General features: G+C 43.2%; 2 long non-coding RNA genes across 2 annotated transcripts in view; one reads left to right on the top strand and one right to left on the bottom strand.

Annotated features, from left to right (window-relative positions):
• The window catches only part of LOC101929268 (uncharacterized), a 146,944-nt gene extending 133,294 nt beyond the window's left edge, over window positions 1-13,650 (bottom strand). The window contains exons 1-2 of the long non-coding RNA NR_105002.1: window positions 13,552-13,650; window positions 13,145-13,401 (exon numbers count right to left, since the gene is read on the bottom strand). This is a non-coding gene — a long non-coding RNA (uncharacterized LOC101929268). The remainder of the gene's footprint in view (window positions 1-13,144; window positions 13,402-13,551) is intronic.
• LOC112268027 (uncharacterized) lies at window positions 6,926-15,212 on the top strand. Its single transcript, XR_002956708.2, has 2 exons — window positions 6,926-8,997; window positions 12,661-15,212. It is a non-coding gene; the product is annotated as an uncharacterized LOC112268027 (long non-coding RNA).
• The last annotated feature ends 1,010 nt before the right edge of the window (window positions 15,213-16,222 follow it).

Below are 16,222 nucleotides of genomic sequence, written 5' to 3'. Positions count from 1 at the left end.
AGAGGGGCTCACTATTAATTACTGCATCATGGCAGCAGGAATAAATCTGGACCAGCTCAGGACACTGGCATGAAGGTCATCCTGGTCCTGAACAGAGAATGCACTGGCCAAGGTCACATTACAAGGCCATGGTACAGACTGAATGGAGCCCAGGATGTCAGAATTCAGGGCTGGGCTTATAGCCATACTGCTTCATTGCATGATGGAAAACCCAATAAATCACTGGATGACTTTACTGATAAGAGGCTGAGATAGAAGCCATATGGAGGAACAAGATGGCTAGACCCTTCCCCCTGCTCCTGCTCCCCTGACTAAGCACAACTGCGAAACCATGGATGGCACATGAAGCAACTCCAGGAGGACTCTTGGAGGAGAGGGTCCAAGACCCAAGAGGAGCAGCACAGTGCCAGGTCTCAGTCTCCACCCAGCAAGGACGGCCACTAGTCATGGTCTCCACCCCCGACCCAGCACCAGCAGGTCCTCAGATGGCTCATCCTCCAGATGGAGCAGAGCTGTTCCAGTAGCACCAGGGGAACCACTGGCAGGGGCCCATCAGAGCCCCACCAGAAATCAGTGGCTGGAGGGGAGGTCTCCTTACCACTGGGCCTGAGATGCCCTTTTCCTGCTGAGACACACAGGAGTGGGAGGCGGAACCATAAAGGGGCCTGCCACTGCAAGCAGCTGCTCAGAGAAACTCTGTTGTCCATGGCCTGGGGCTCTCCTGCCCTGACCAGAGGTGCCTGGGCTGCCCAGGACACAGGCACATGGGTCCCACCACATCCTTCTTCCACCAAGAGCCTCCTGGCAGCTGGCCCAGTGAAGCCTTTCCCAATCCACAGGCCACACCAGCAGGGACCAGTGGGAGCCCCCAGGGAACCAGAAAAACCAAGCAGACCAAACAACACAGCAAAGACTCCGAAAATTAAGCTGCCATCAGAACCACAGTCCACAAAAACAGTCCAAAACTTGTGGGCTGAACCTAAATTGGGTGACTTGCTGCTAAAATATAAGATTTGGGCCGGGCATGGTGGCTCACGCTTGTAATCCCAGCACTTTGAGAGGCCAAGGCAGGTGGATCTCCAGAGGTCACGAGTTCGAGACCAGCCTGGCCAACATGGTGAAACCCCATGTCTGCTGGAAATACAAAAATTAGCCAGGTGTGGTGGTGCACGCCTGTAATCCCAGTTACTCAGGAGGCTGAGGCATGTGAATTGCTTGAATATGGGAGGCAGAGGTTGCAGTGAGCCGACTGAGATTGCGCCACTGCACTCCAGCCTGGGTGACAGAGTGAGACTCTGTCTTAAAAAAGTGATAATAATAAAATAAAAAATTAAAATAAAATATGATTTAAATAGGGCTCAGAGACTTCTAACATAATAGACAAAATGTTCAGCATACAACTGAAAATCTCCTGTCATATCAAGAACTAGGAGATTCACAACTTGAATTTAAAAAGCCAATAAACTGATGTCAACAGTGATATTAATACAAATTTGGAATTATCTGACAAGAATGTAAAAGCAATAGCCATGGAAATGCTTCAACAATCAATTTAAAATGTTATTGAAACAAATGAAAAAGTAAATCTCAAGAAAGTTATAAAAAGGAACCGAATGGAGGCCGGGCGCAGTGGCTCATGCCTGTAATCCCAGTGCTTTAGGAGGCCGAGGTGGGCAGGTCACAAGGTCAGGAGTGTGAGACCAGCCTGGTCAATATGGTGAAACCCCATCTCTACTAAAAATACAAAAATTAGCCAGGAGTGGTGGTGGGTGCCTGTAATCCCAGCTACTGGGGAGGCTGAAGCAGAAGAATTGCTTGAACCTGGGAGGTGGAGGTTGCAGTGAGCCAAGATCACTCCACTGCACTCTAGCCTGGGCAACAGAGTGAGACTCCATCTCAAAAAAAAAAAATTGCCCAATGGCTCAACAGTAGAGCAGAGATGAAGAGCATTCCTTCAGTGAACATTAAGGCAGAACAATAGAATTCACTCCATATGAACAGCAGAGAGAAAGTAGATATTTTTAAAAAATTAAAACATTCTCCCTCACTGACCTCTGAGACAGAAGAGCCAACATTCAAATCGCTGGAGTCTCAAAATGAAAAGGAAGGGGGTGGGGAATTAAAGAGTGTTTAAAGAAATAATAACTAAAAACTTCACAAATCTGTCAAGAACATATCAATCTATAGATCCAAAAAGCTGAACAAACCCTAAACAATATTTTTTCAGTGCTGAGAGAAAAGAATAGTCAGCCATGGATTCTATATCCAGCTAAGCTCACCTTCAGGAGGGAAGGGGAAATGAAAACATTCTCAGATGCAGAAAACTAAATAATTTGTCATGAGCAGGTCAATCCTTAAATATTATATAAATGAAGTACTTCAAACAGAAAGAAAATGATAAAAAATTTTTGAGAATCAGGAAAGTAAAAGAAATGACAAAGAGTACACATGGGTGCATACACTAGACTACCCTTTTCCTGGTGAGTTTTATAAGTTATATTTATAATTGAATCAAAAATAATATCTTCTGATTCATAACAAAATGATGGTTAAAGGGGAAAGATAAAAAGACCTAAAGAGAAGTGAGATTTCCACACACAGCTGAAAATGGTAAAATATTGATACCAATCAACTTTTGTAAGTCATATATGTATATTGTAAAACCCAGAGCAACCATGACAAAAACTATACAAAGGGACACATTAAAACACTAAAAATAAATCAGGTTGGAATTTTAAAACAACATTCAAGTAATCCTGAGAAAAGGAAGAAACACAGAAGATCAAGCACCTGAGAAAACAAATAATAAAATACCACTTTTAAGTACTAACATACCAATAATCACCTTAAATGTGCATTGTCTAAATCAAAAGGTAGACATTATCAGAATGCATAAACATGACCCAATTATATGCTGCTTACAAAAAACTCTTACACAAGGCAGGTCAAAAGGAAAATGATGAAAACAGATAAGCTATATAAACATAAAAATTTTTGAAGACCAGTAGTAGTTATATTAATATCTCATAAAGTAGACTTCAGAGCAAAGAAAATTCCTAGAAACAAGAAAGAAGAGTCTATATGGATATAAAGATAATTCACCAGAAAGAAATATTTATCTTAATTGTGTATGCAATAAACAACATAACCTCAAAATACATGAAGTACCAACAGATGAAACTGAAAGAAGAAATATACAAATAGAAAATTATAGTTGATTGTTTTGACAGCCCCTTACCTCACCAATGGATAGTGCTACAAGACAGAAATTCATCAAAGATATACAGGACTGAACAATAAAGTCAACCAATAGGATCTAACCGACATACATAGAACAAGCTACATAACGACAATACAATACAAATATTTCTCAAGTGTACATGGTACATTTACCAAGACAGTTCATATGTTTGGGCAATAAAACAAACATCAACAAATGTGAAAGAATTAAAGTGATACAGAATATCTTTTCTGACCACAATGGAATCAAACTAGAAACCAGTAACAAAGACAACAGGAAAACCTCCAAACAAATTTCTAAATAATGTATGGGCTATAAAGGAAGCCTTAAAGGGATATTTTTTAAAAAGCATATAACAGAATGAAAACAAAAAACTTAATATATCAAAAGATGTTGGATGTAATTAAAGCAGCAATAAGAAGGAAATTTATAACACTAAATGTTTACATTAGAAATAAGAAAAGGTTTCTATTCTTTCCTGAAGAAACTAGAGAAAAAAGAATGAAAAACAATCTAGAGGAGCCAGAAAGAAGAAAATAACATAGAGCAGAAATCAATAAAATTGAAAATAGGAAAACAATGGGTAAGATCAATGCAACAAAAAACTAGTTATATGAAAAAAGTTAATAAAATTGATAAGCCCATAGTAAGACTGACAAAAATAAAGAGTGAAAACACAAATCACAACTACTAAGAATGAAATGAAAGTCTGGACATGGTGGCTTACACCTTTAATCCTAGCACTTTGGGAGGCTGAGGCAGGCAGATTGCTTGAGCCTGGGATTACAAGATTGCCAGCCTGGGCAACATGGCAAATCCCCATCTCTAGATAAACTACAAAAAATAACTAGGCATGGTGGCTTGAGCCTGTAGTCTCAGCAGCTCAGGAGGCTGAAGCAGCAGGATTGCTTGAGCCCAGGAGGTCGAGGCTGCAGTGAGCTGAGATGGCACCACTACACTCCAGCCTGGGTGACAGAGTAAGACCCTGTCCCCTCTCCCTCCAAAAAAAAAATAATAATAATAATAATAATAATAAGATAAAAGATACCACTTCAGAACTTCAGATGCTGCAGTCATTAAAAAGATAACAAGGGAATACTGTGAACAAATTTACACTTATAAATTCTCCAACTTAAAAGAAATGAACCAATTCCTTGAAAGCCACAAAGTACCAAAACTCAACCAGGACAAAATAGACAATCCAAGTAGTCCTATAACCAATAAAGACATTGGTCAAAATTTAGCTTATAATTAAAAAGCTGCCCAAAACAGCAATCTCCAGGACAGATGGTTTTACTAGATAAAAGAATTCTACCAAACATTTAAAGAAAAATTGAAATGAATCTTACACAATTTCTTCCAGATAATGAAAGAAGAGGAAACACTGCCAATTTATTTATTAATGCTAGTATTATTCTGAAACCAAAACCACACAAAGAGAATGCAAATAAAATGAAAACTACGGATCAATATATGTAATAAACTTAAATGCAAAAATCCTTAACAAAATATTAGCAAATCAAATCCAAACAACATATCAAAAGAATTAGATACCATGACCAAGTATAATTAGTCCAGGTATGCAAACTTGTTAAGCATTTGGAAATTGGTCAATGTCTTCCACCATAACAACAAGCAAATAAGAAAAATCATATTAATTGATGTAAGAAAAGCATTTGACAAAATCCCACACTTATGAATGATGAAAATAGACATTAGAAACAGAAGAAAATTACCCCAACTTGATAAAAAAGTGTCTAGCATCTACAAAAAAAAAAACACAAAAAACAAAAAACAAAAAACCACCCACAGCTAACGTTATACTTAATGGTAGAAGACCGAATGCTTTCCCCCTAAGATCAGGAACAAGACAATGCTCTACCCCTGTTATTTAACATAGTACTAGAAGTTCTAGCCACTGAAAAAGCGAGCAAAAGAAATAAAAGGCAGGCATACTGGAAAAGAAGAAATAAAAACTGTCTGCATTTGCAGACATTATGATTGCCTAAGGGTAATATCCCCAAAAAATTTACAAAGAAAATATCTAGAGTAAGAAGTGAGTTCAGCAAGATCACAGGATACAAGATCAGCCTGAAAAATCAATTGCATTTCTGTGTACTAACAATGAACAGGTGGTGATTGGAATTAAAAACATTTTACCACTTATAAGCACACAAAAGAAAATGAAATACTTAGATATACACTTAGCAAAGCTTGAACAGAAGCTCTGTACTGTATATTACACAGGCTGATGAAAGAAATAAAAGAAGACATAAATAAATGCTGAGACATACCATGTTCATGAATTGAAAAAAAATCAACATTAGTAATGATGTCGAGTCTCCCCAAATGGGTCTATAGGTTAAATACAATTTCTATCAAAACCCAGCAAAGATTTTTTTGTAGATACAGACAAGCTTATTCTAAAATTTGTGTAGAAAGACAAAGGTAAAATAATCTTGAAAAAGAATAAAGTAAGAGGAAGCAATCTACCTAATATCGAGTCTTACAGCTACAATAATCAAGACAGTATGGTACTGCTGAAAGGACAGACACATAGACTAATGGAACATAATAGAGAACCCAGAAATAAAACCAGGCAAATGCTCTCTACTGATTTTTTTACAAAGGTGTGAAAGCAATTCAATGAACGAAGGCTAGTCTTTTCACAAAATAGCACTGATGCAACTGGACATGTAGAGACAAAAAAAGAAAGAAAGAAAAAGAACCTAAACCTAAGCCTCTTATACAAAAATTAATTCAAACTAAATCATAGGCACACGTGTAAAATGTACAACTATGAACTTTTAGAAAAAGAATTACGAGAAAATCTTCAGGATCTCAAGTTGGGCAGAGTCCTTAGACTTGAAATCAAAAGCACATCCATAAAAGGAATATTGATAACTTGGATCTCATTAAAATTAAAAAGCTTTTTTGCTCTGTAAGAGCCCATGTGAAGGGTATAAAAAGACAAGCTATAGACTGGAGAAAATATTGACAAACCAATCTGACAAAGGACTAGTACCTAGAGCATATAAAGAACTTTCAAAACTCAACATTTAAAACATTCAATTAGAAAATAAGTAAAAGACATAAATAAGTATTTTACTGAAGAGGATATACACATGGCAAATAAGCATCTGAGAAAATGTTCACCATCATTAATCATTAGGGAAATAAAAAATTAAAACCACAATGATATTGCTATACGCTTACCAGAATGGCTAAAATGATAAAAAGAGACAATACCAACGCTGGCAAGGATACAGAGAAACTGGGTCACTTATATATTGCTGGTGGGAATATAAAGTAGAACAGCCACTCTGGAAAACAATTTGGTAGTTTCCAATAAAGTTAAACATTAAGCTACCATATAACCCACCAATAGTACTTTTAGACATTTATCTCAGAGAAATGAAAATGATATTCACACAACAATCTACACACAAAATTTGTAGCAGCTTCATTTGTAATAGCAACAAGTGGGGATCTGCCTATATGTCCTTCCACCGGTGAATGGCTAAACAAACTGTGATTGAGACAAACACTGAGTAGTGCTGGGACACTACTCGGCAACAGAAAGAAGAAACCATTGTTGCATGCAACAACTTGGATGGATCTCCAGGAAATCATGCTGAGCAAAAAAAAAAAAAAAAAAAAAAAAAAAAAAAAACAATCCCAAAAGGTTACACTGTGGGATTCTCTCTATGTAACATTTTTGGTATGGTTAAATTTTAGAAATAGAGAACAAATTCATGATGGCAAGGATTAGAAAAGGAGAGGCAGGGAAGGCACAGGCAGGGTGGAAGTGGATGTGGCCTTTTATAAAATGGTTACAGGGGAGATACCTGTGGAGATGGAACTATTTTCCTGACTGCGGTGGTGTGTGTGGGAAGTTACACATGTGATAAAATTATACAGAACAAATAATCACACACATAAATGAGTGCAAGTAAAACTGAATAAGGTAAGTGGATTGTGTCAATATCAATATCCTAGTTGTGACATTAGTATATTGGCACGTGAAGGGAGCTCAGAGCCAGTCCTATATTTGCCTTTGCAGGCACGGGGGGAATTGCTGTAAACAAACCTCGTCTTAACTGGTTTTGGCCCCATCTCCTTATCAAACAACCACGCAGATCTGCTAACAGCCAATTTGCCAAGTCGGACCCTGGTTCTCTCCAGCAGTCCTGGCTCACCTTCTGGCAAATTCATCAAAATACAGTGTGTGGGATGAAAAAGTGTTCTCTATTAACCAATTCATTGGTGATTAATCCCCCAACACAAATAAGAGTTGGCTTTGACTGACCCCTTCGTTAACACAGAAGTGACTGTGAAGTTTGGTGATGTACCCCAATTCTTCCAACAGAAAAGTGCTCCTGAAGTCCAGCCATTGTCTGTGGCAGAAGACTGAAAACAGTGTGACAAATCTTTCCATGAAGCTGCACTACTGAAATCTTATACCAGCAGCCCAGAGCTTCTCCCAAGCCTGTTCATATCCTGCATATTGGCCAAATTCTACCCTCAGATATGCACACATGGCCTCCTGATTTCCATTTAAAGGCTTTTGCAAACCTCGTTCCTACTTGAGGGTTAGGGAAGCTCTGCCAGTATCTGAGGATGATGCCGCCAGTTGAAATTTTCTAGACGCGACGGCTTAAATGGCTTGTGACTGAACTGGAAACACATCTACATTTCATTTTAATTATTGGTGATGACAACACAAACTCTGCCATCATTTTGTATTTTCCCTCTCTACCGTCTATTTCAAAATGACTTTATCATGCTTTATCATCGGCTGACTTCTACTTTAATGAACCTTCAGAACCACAAATCCTTAAGATCCCATTCCCTGTCATAGAAAGAGGAAAGCCCACCCGCACAGCTAAATGGAGAAAGGGACCAGCCTGCCGCCAGACACAGCAGAGGAGCTGTTCCCATTCCTTTAAAAATAGGAGAGGAAACACATCCCACCGTCTGGGATAGGAAACCTGTCCCTTCAGCCCCCAAGACCAGAGCCTTTCTGGAAACCTAGGATGGAAGCACATTCCTGGCTGGTACTCAATGACAGAAAGCGATGCTCTTTCTGCCACCTGCGGGGCAGTCGCTTCCCCCTGAAAAAGTCACTGTCCGAACACTTTGCAGCAGGGCAAGAGCCTGCCAGGCACTGGTGGGGCCTCTGGAACTTTCAACCTACTGCACAGAAACTCACACATGCCTTTAGCACCATTCACAGAAACAGCATCTTGTTTCCAGTTTGGCTGTAGATAATGAAATTAGCCCCCAAATTACCATAAAGTGGAAAAAGTAAACACGAAAGCAGGAGCTAGGTTTCCAGGCCTCTCCCTCCCCCCATACGGAACAGGACCCTCTGGCTTCTTCGCTGTTTAAATTCAAAGCAAGACTGCTGTTTTTCTAAGTCGCTATGCTGACCCCAAGCAGATAAAGAACACTAAATGACACATTCAGGAGAGCAGCTCTGTTCTCGCAGAGCCGCTGTGTTTACATCAGGAAATCCTGCTCGGGTGGGGACAGGGGGTCGGCCGCGGAGGCGGCCCGGGCGCCGGCCTCCCTAGCGCTCACCGCCGCGCTCCGCTGGCTGGGCCGTGCTGGCCCCTGGCGCTAGGCAGCTGACTCCATCCAGATGTGCCGCGGCTCCAGAGTGGCTGCCGCGCGCAGTAAATGGGCATCGGAGGCTCGTCAATCCGGGCCAGAGCAATTGCGGTCTCGGGGCCGCCCCACTGGCACTCGGAAAGGTGCGCGCGGGAGGGGACCGCGGAGGCGCCGGGCGGGGGCACCCTGGGCACGGGGGCACCCTGGGCGCGGGGAGAGCGCGCGCTAATGACCGACCGGGGAAATGTTCCTAATACATTTGTACATTTCCTTGTAAATGTTTTACACTTTGAAAGAAAGGGGAATGCTGTATATCATTTGGAAATGTTGGCTGTCTATAGGTCCCTGTGGGTATTACCGCGTTAGTACGACTTGTAACCAGAGCAAGAGAAACATAAAAAAGCTGGGAAACACTGCCAATTAGTCATTACAGGGGACTGTAAAAACAAAAGAAAGAGAAAGAGGAGGGAGGAGAAGGAATCAAAGAAGAATAAAATGACCTGGGGGGGAAAAAAAAGCAAAAGAAAAGGGATGCGTTTCTATGGTGTTCCGGGAATAGCGCGGGAAACAGGACAGCTGGCGGCTTTCTGATCAGCAGAGACCTGCAAAGCAGCAAGCTCCCAGGCGCAGCCCCGGAGCGGCCCTGTCAGTTCCCAAACGACACCTAGTTGCTGTCCCTGTAAAAACTCTAGCTGGGTCAGCAGGCAGGCAGTATGCTTTGAAGCGAGACCCAACTGTGCAAAATCCAAGTCAGACATTTATTTCTGATCGCCCGCCGCCTACACAGTCGTTGCTAGCTGAGTTGTAATAAAAAGGAGAAGACAGGAACTATTTTTTTTACAATCCCAAGTTCCTACCAGTCACCGGCTTCAAGCGGCCTGTGGTCATGGTTGCTGAAAACGGTTTTTAATTTTACAGTAATTCTGATGATCGAAATCTTTTTTTGTTTGTTTCTGCTTTTTGCCAGAGTCAAGAGTCCAAGAACTTGTAACATCACAATCTGAAATGGATCTGGCTGAGCCTCCCAGTCCTTCTTGAGTAACTTTATTGACCCCTTTCAGGACTTAAGTGAAGAGATAACGGTGGTGTACGCAATGTGTTAGTTGCAGGCCAAAACCCGGGCTGGGCCAGGCTTCTCCCAGGGAAGGGCTGTGATAGCTCAGGGCCTCCAGGGAGTGGGAGAGTTGGGGGGTGGCGGGTAGGGGGGTGAGGAGAGGAAGCTGGGGCCCACTCCCCAGGGACAGGGAGGCATATGTTGCTGGCTGGGAGAGAACTGCTTATCTCAGCAGCATGCAGGCCGGCTTCCAGCCAGGCCTCTTCAGCCCACAGTGATTTCAGTCCCCACCTCCTCTGAGTCATGAGGATGGCCACATGTGCCTCAGATCCAATTCCTGGCAAGGGCACAACTCTGCTAATCAGCTGGGGTCCTTCTTAGTGTCTGCCCATAGCTCAGCAGATGCACAGCTCAGCTTCACCAGGACAAAATGTCTTGCATTAGATCTGTTTCAAAAACAATTATATGAGCCAATTATCCTGGCTTCTAACAACAGATTTTAAAAATCTAGTAGCAAGATCTCAAAAAATGATTAAACCACAAACACTATTTTAAAATAACATTAAACCAGACAAGAGATGAAGATTCTCACAGAACCAACATGAGCACACTCTACTCCCCGAGCCCAACTCCCCATGCCTGTGTCTGTATCTCCAAAGTCCAGAGAGGGACTTACTTATATCTGGGCCCTCTTCTGAGATAGAAATGAGCACAGCAAGAATTCCTTATCTGCCAATGACTTTTACCTTCATAACATACAGCTTTGAAGTCTGTTCGTGGAAAAGCTGTCATCAGAGACTAACTGGAAAATCCTCATGAACTGGGTCCCTGACCTACCGATTTGCATTGCCCACAGGCTGGGCATGTTTTACCAGAGGCAGGTCTACAGCAGGTTAGTTGTGTCTCTTCAGAACTGGTCAAAAATAGTGTCATGCTTTTGCTGGCAAGCCTGTTCCAGCTCCTCTCAGTGCTTGGTTGCTTCTCTGTGGGAGCGCACCATCTCGCCTCCCACCTGACTGTGGGCGAACCCTGCAGCTGAGACCTTGCCCTTTGCAGTTGTCTCTGCAGATTGTATTCTTCGGCAATTGTCTTTACACTAATAGAACTGACTTTGAAATTTGAAGCTACAGCCTTGACATTTTTCTCAAGTTGTAGGTGCATTCTTCCAGCTGTAACTAGACATCTCCCCTTGAATTTCACATCATCATTTCAAATTTGGTGCATTGACAAGGAAATGCGTGGTTTTCCTTCCTTATCCCAAGGGCCAGAGGGCCACACCTTCCCTTAACTCAGCCCCCTTGACTCTCCAATTTCTACCAAAGATAGCATCACTCTCTCATTATAGAGGCCCATAGGCTCATTCCTTAACTCATTCCTTTCTTGCTTGGTTTGTATTCTAATTTCTGCAACAGAGCTCTGGGTGTTGTCCCCCTGCTCTGCAGACAAATAGTGAACCAGAGAGCCAGAAGCCCATTCCCGCCCAGTCAGCAGACAATCACAGTGCCCATCAAACACCCTCACAGTATAGTGTAAGTTTTCTGTTCAAAACTTTGCTGTCCCTGTGGTCCCTCACTTTTGCCTTGTGTGAAAAAGTTCACGTGCATTAACCTTGGAAACTTCCACAACTGGTGATAACCTCCTCTTCCACCACAACCTCCGTCCTCAGCCGCCTTCATCCTCGGGAGCCTCTCTGGCCCCTGCCTGCTGTGGACTCTCCCAAACCCAGCCTGGGGAGCCATTCCTACAGATCTTGGCTGCTAAAGGAGATTTAAACTCTTTCCTGCTCTCTACCAGGGTAAATTCTAACCAAACCTCAAACTCAAAATCAAATCTACAGTCCTCTGCAGAGGACAAGCTTCCGCAGGGATGGCCCTTGAACCCAGAGAGACCCTGTCCACCCCCAGTGAGGTCAATGACTGGCTGATCCCCAGCACTGGGTCCATTCCACAGTTTTGGTGCCTATCAGATGTCCCACCACACTTCCAATTCAGAAGTGCTAAAATCAAACTCCTTGTCTTTCCCCTGGAACTCTCTTCATTCTTTCATATCCTCCATTTGTTAACTTTAGGGTAATGGTCTATTTATCTGGTTTTATTTAAATCAAAACTCAGAAACCCCGGGCTTCTTCTCCTTTCTCCACTCTGAAGTCCAAGCAGCAACTGAGACCTGGCGCTCTGCTTCTTAGAGAGGACTCTACTTGCCACCTGCCACCTTCCTCCACCTTCCAGGGCTCCGTGGGCAGGACCGTCTTGGCAAGTGTGTGTTTTCAGGCCAATCACCACTGCCACCTTTACCAAAGGGCCCCTCAGGTCCACCCCTCAGCCTTGCCCACTCTGCCTGGTGCTCTGAGGCCACTCCCCACTCCCCTTGGCTGCCCCGTCCTCCAGCTTCCCATGGGCAGTGCAGCTCGGGCGGGAACCTGCTCCTCCCACCGTGCACCCCAGGTCCTGCACTATTTCTTCTGCTCTTCCTAAGCCTGCTCACAGCTTGGTAAATATTCCCTTCATTATGCTCTCTTCACACCGCCCAGGTTGAGAGCATTTTCTGCCAAGAAAACTCATGTCCTGACTGATATACGGTACCCTGAGTGAGCGAGTGAGTACTCATTTGATATTTAAGTACCTTTTGTAAAAATGCAATTGTATAAGTTTTGGAGGGATGTGACCCACAGAGCATCTAACAGTATGTCCTAAACGTGATTGGTGCCTAATAGCCGCCTTTTTTTTTTTTTTTTTTTTTTTTTTTGAGACAGGGTCTCGCTCTGTCACCCAGGCAGAAGAGCAGTGGTACGATCTTGGTTCATTACAGCCTTGACCTCCTGAGCTCAAGTGATCCTTCCACCTCAGCCTCCGGAGTAGCTGGGACCGCAGGAATGCAATACCATGTCTGGCTAATTTTTGTACTTTTGGTAGAGGCGGGGTCTTGCTACCTTACCAGGGCTGGTCTCAAACTCCCGGGCTCAAGCGATCCTCCTTGCCTTGGCCTCCCAAAGTACTGAGATTACAGGCATGAGCCGCTGCACAGAGCCCCACTAACTATTTTTTGAATAAATCTGAGTTCCTGAAAGATTGAATACAATCTGTTTAGAGGAAGAAGCTGTAAAACTGTAATAAGATGAAAGAAGAAGAAAGGAAGAAAAGGAGGAGCGAAAGGAGGAGGGGAAGAAACTGATTCATGCAGGTTAAATAATATCATAATTATTCCACTGTAATTTTTTTGCACTTTAAAGTACTCACCTGTCTATTCTGTACTGGAGTTCTGACCTTGTTTCTGGTCTACCACACCACTGCATTTTCAAACCAAGAATTCACTGAGAGCGAATAGGAAGGCTCGTGCACCAGAGAGACTATTCTCATTTATTTCTTAATTATTTATCAACAAAACTTCATTGGCACACTTATTGAGAGAGTTTCAAATCAGCGTGCTGGGCGCTGGGAAGCGCACTGGGTGCTGAGACACGGGAAGCCACAGCTTCTCTGGAGAAGCTCGCATTCTGAAAGGAAGCGTTGGGAGAGGACATGGATGAAAACATACAAGACAAAACAGTGAGCATTGTGATAAGAGATAATACAGTGTCACAGCAGCAAGAAGAAGGAATTCACGACTCTCAAGAGGTCGAGATCATCCTTGAACCACCACTGACCTCAAGGCAAGGCACAAGGCGAAGAGCCCCCGAGTGGCACAGGGAGATTGAGGGTCTCATCCCCACTCATAGGAATTCAGCCCATCAGTGGTCTAGACTGAGACAAGAAATTAAGTAAATTTGACTCCTATGCCACTTCTATATTTATCCATTCATTCGTGGGAACACTGAGATTCCACTCCCTGTGCCTGACAGTTTGAACTAACATTCTTACATGTTGGTATCACTCAAGAATCACACTGGGAGAAGGTGGGTTTAGGTTTCTCTAGCTAGAAAAAGACTCACCACAAGGAATCGAATGTAATCCTAGTTCTAATCCAATCTAGACCAAAAGGGTCCAGTTACTGTCCACAGAGGGCTGCGTCCAGGAAGGCCATACTGGTGTGCTCCCAGCCACAGCCCCAGCATGGCCGACACACAGGAATGAAAGGTCATGCCAGCTCCTGCTCCTTCCTTATCCTAAGAGCCCGAGGCCCACACCTTCCCTTAAACAGACCCAGGGCACAGCCCTTCCTTAAGTCATCCCATAACAGTGCTGGACTACCAAAGTCCAAGCCACCACACAGGGATGACATAAGTGAGGTTTCCATCTGCCAGGAGGCCAGAGGAATGCAAGTGTCACGTCATGGGGAAGGAAGGCCCAGTAGTAACAGTCACCTCCGAGGGGCCTTCCTTGTGGATTGAGGGTGTCTTCTCCATGCAGTTAGCTTAATAACAATAAACAGGTGGACTAGGTTCATGATTGATAAATTCCTTCTCTACCCAACCCTCCCCCTGCCCTAGACAATGTTGGTGTCTGTACAATTAGAAGGATCTATTCTCTTTTTAATGCGGAAGCAAAGCAGAGTGATAGGAGCTTAGAGAAATCGCAGCACAGATGTCAAGGCCGTAGGCCCAAGGGCTGTTAAAAAAAGAAAACTCTGTAAATGGAAGTGAGGCTTAGTAAGGCACAGCCCTTAAGTCTTGGCTCACAATGCAAAGGAAAAAAAGAAAAAAGAAAAAAGACTGGTGGGTGGGGGAGTTTCCTGAAGCCATGAGTAAAATCTGGCAGAAAGCATTCTATACAGCCTTTTTTGGTTTCAATCCGCATGACATCACAATCTGTGAATTTTGCTGTGATTGAATTTGAATGAACTTGTAGATTCAAAACAAAACCCATTTGAAACAAGCTCCACAAAGCAACTCTAGCTTCCCTGCAGCAGTTAAGTGCATTTCCTAACTGCCTTCTTCTTTTCTGGATGGCAAGGCCCGCCTGGGATAACACGCCAAGTCCAAACCACACAGACACATGCATGCACACGCATGCAGACACATACAAGCACACACAGACATATGTGCACACACACATGCAGACATACATGTGCACATACACTCATTCACAGAAACACACACACACACACACACACACAGTGGGAGCAGCAGGTCCAAGAGAAGTGGCAGGAGCACTGGACTGGACTGTCGATTCTACCTGGGAGAACCTGCCCATCCTTTTGTTCTGCTTCCCCTTTTTATTCCTATTATCTTAGTTCTGCCCAGTAAAGGCAAGAAGGAAGACCTAGACCAGCCCTGCAAACACATTGTGAGCTTAGAGAAACCAGGGCAGAAGAAAAGAAAACCACACAACAGTACTGGTGTGACGATTAAAGTATTCCACTATTCCAGGCTTCTCCTCTTTTGTTGAATTTGTTTCTACAGAACTGGGGATGATATGGGTAAGCATCAGATGTATTTACACATAACAGGTTTTTGTAAATAGTGAGAAACATAGCCCAACATACCTCCAGGTGTACAAGATCATTCAAAAACCAAACCTGAATTAACCATTTTGTTTTTCTATAAGGACAGCTATGCCACACATTGAAGAACTATGCTGCTAACATAGCCAACACAGGTAATCAGAATGTGTTTTAATATGCAAATAACCCTATCAAGGAATGCCTCCCAACCTATTCCATGTCTACCTAGCCTGGGACCCTAAAATCCTCCATGTCTCTGATCACCCTGGAAAAGCCTAAGACTCCAGGCTTTTAACACAGTGGTACTCAGTTGTGAGTGATCTTCCCCCCAGGAGACATTTAGCAATGTCTGGAGATGTTTTTGGTTGTCACAACTGTGGGGTGTGGGTGCTACTGGCATCCAGTGAGTAAAGGCCAGGGATGCTACTCAACATCCTACGGTAAACAGGTAGCCCTTACCCCACAACTCAGAAGGATCTGGTCCCAAATGTCAGCAGTGCCAAGGTTGAGAACCCCAATTTAACACATGAGCCCCCCTCCTTCCCCTCCCAAAAGAGTGTGTCAATACAACTGTCCCGCAGTGTTCTCTGACTTCATAGCTACCAAGGCAGGAGCCAACATGGAGCTGCCACAACAGCTTGGCAGAAGAGCCTGCAATCGAGTCGGTTCACCAGAACTAGAAGTCAGCGTAGACTGCGCAAAGCAAGAGTGATGGCCCAAACCCCTACAAAAATCGGTTGAAATAAAAATCAATGTCACCCTCAGACCACGGTCACTTTCTGCCAAGTAGTTAGCGAGAATTACAGGCATATGATTTCAAGAAAAATATTTTATCTTGGTGAGTTTTAGAAAGGAAAAAAGGAAAGTCTTTGCCCTGTTATGCAGTAGCACTATTCATTTGTGGTCTGTATCTGATTTCCTTGAGTAAGATGTGA

Source organism: Homo sapiens, chromosome 8, assembly GCF_000001405.40.
Source record: "Homo sapiens chromosome 8, GRCh38.p14 Primary Assembly".
Lineage (NCBI taxonomy): Eukaryota > Metazoa > Chordata > Mammalia > Primates > Hominidae > Homo > Homo sapiens.
This window is presented reverse-complemented; position numbering and strand designations above follow the sequence as displayed.